This window comes from Homo sapiens, chromosome 2 (genome assembly GCF_000001405.40).
Source record: "Homo sapiens chromosome 2, GRCh38.p14 Primary Assembly".
Taxonomy (NCBI): Eukaryota; Metazoa; Chordata; class Mammalia; order Primates; family Hominidae; genus Homo; species Homo sapiens.
The window spans coordinates 91,432,766-91,435,310 of NC_000002.12; positions in this window are offsets into that span (position 1 = coordinate 91,432,766).

A 2,545-nucleotide genomic window follows, 5' to 3' on the forward strand; every position below is an offset into this window, starting at 1 on the left:
AAAATTAAAGACATTGGTGTTTCAAAGGACAACCAAGCAAGTCAAAAGGCAGCTCAAAAATTGTGAGAAAATATTTGAAAAACACATATCTATATGTCTGCATATATATGTATCTTGAATATAGAAAAATTGTTTTAACTCAGTAACAAATATCCCAACTCAAAACTGATAAACGATAGGAATAGATGTGTTTTCCAAGAAGATACACGAACGGTCAATAATCCCATAAAAAGATACTCAACAGCATCACTCATCAGGCAACTACAAATCAAAACCACAGTTAGATACGCTATGGCTAGAACTGGCCACTTTGGAAAATAGGTTGATGGCTTCTAAATATATTAAACATAGAATTGTCATATGACCCAGAAATTTATTCCCAGGTATACACCTAGATTATTGGAAAGAGGTGTTCAAACACAAATTGTACACAAGTATTTTTAGCAGCAGTATTTAAAATAGCCAAAGGCTGAACACAACTCAAATGTCAATAAAAATATTATTGGATAAACAAAATGTCATATCCATGAAATTGAATGTTATACAGGTATAAAAACAAATAAAGTACCGATACGCATATGAACCTTGATAGCATTATGCCAACTGAAAGAAGCCAGGCACAAAAGGCCACCTATTGTATGATTCTATTTAGATGAAAATAGAATAGGAAAATCTACAGAGACAGAAAACAGATTTGTGGTTGCTTAGGATTGAGTAGGGGATGAGTGCATAGGAGGTTAACAGCTAGAGAAAGTGGGGTTTCTTTTTGAAGTGATGAAAATGCTCTAAAATTCATTGTGATGATGGCTCCACTTATCTGCGTATATACTAAAAGCCATTGACTTGTAGACATTAATATGTGCACTCTACACTATGTAAATTATATCTCAATAAATCCTTTCAAAAATACACAGAAGACTAAGGGGTTTTGGAATGTTTCAGCTGGGAGGCAGTTTGAAATACTGAATAGGTCTCATCGAGAATGTGAGGTTTCAGTAAAGATTTGAGGAGTCGAATGAGCTGATCAATGGATATATGGGGGGATTTCTTTCAAAGCCAAGAAATTAACTAGAGTCTTGGTCATAAGACAGCAGCATGTTGGCATGTCCAGAGGACAGTGAGGTGGACAGGACCACTGGTAAGGTCAAGGGTGAAGACATAAAAGAATTTTGGCGGTTAACATGCGGCAGATCATGATGGGCTTGCAGACCATTGTACGAATTGTGTCTTTTAGTGTAAATGAAATGGGGAGACAAATCATTACCACACTATCAATATTTTAATAAATTGGATCCATGAACCAAATACAATGAGATTAAATCAATTAGTAATAATATGCACATTTGTATTAAAATTACAAGAATTACTTGCACATTTGAGAACAGGAGAGTCATGATTTTTTATCAGCAATAATAAGCTATTAATTTTAATTGTGATCAGCTAATTGAGATTAATTGCAATACATCATGCTTTATAATGTGACTGTCAAAAGGAAAGTATGATTGTAATCTTATACTACATCTATCAATGTCTTTGATTCAGAGGACTATAGAATAAGCCCCTAGTTTTCAAAGCCAACTGATGAGGCAGTGACATCTTATGCAAGTTTGCTGCTTTCTGCCACAGTGGTCCTTGGTCAGCTGGCACAAATTGTTTTACAAACACCACTAGGTCTAAAAAAAGTTTGGATCACAATGAACACAGAAATACCTTCATTCCTTCAGAAATACCTATCAATTACTTCCAATACAGAATGAAAAATTGACAACGGAAGTATGTCGATTGTAAAAATGCCACATAGCTTGCATCTACATGAAAGAAAAATGCCATTTTTATTACAATACATCATCGTTTTACATGAGTTTTGGTATAGCACAATGTTGAACCAAGGGCAAAGAAAGATGAATTAATGAAATCTTAAGACATCAAGAATTTGAAAGAAAAGGAAGGTCATCTTTGAAGGTTAGTGACATAGCATTCATCTTCTGTTGTCACCTTTTCCGTCATTCCCTGTATGCCTGATGGACAGCTTTCACTCAAGTTCAGAGAACAGCATGCAAAGATTAGCTACCAATTAATTTTTATGAAGTGAGCTTAATTTCTAGCCAGACCGAGCTTATGTTTTAGCAGGAAGCATTTTTGGGAAATGTTTATGTTAGAGTTTGCCCTTCTTGACAAGGTGAGGCATAAATGTCTACTTTATAGACATGAATTAAGATGGGAAGATATTTGGGGGAAAAATTTTCTCAAATGCTAAATAACAAAGGTACACAAAGGGGAAATTATACTAGATTTATTTCCCACTTGTTTTCTATGTCTCATCCAATTCACCTTGATTCCCTTCAGTTTCTGTTTAATGTAGAAAGTGGCATTTTCATTATTTTAAGCTTCTAGCGCAATGAAAGAATTTCTCTTTTTCTTGAACAGGATCGTAAATGAAAGGGAGGAAGAGTGTCCAATATCATATTTATTGTTCAACAAAACACTGCTCCACGGCTTAAATTCAGTTTAAAAAAGAGAATTTATTGAACATCTAACACATACA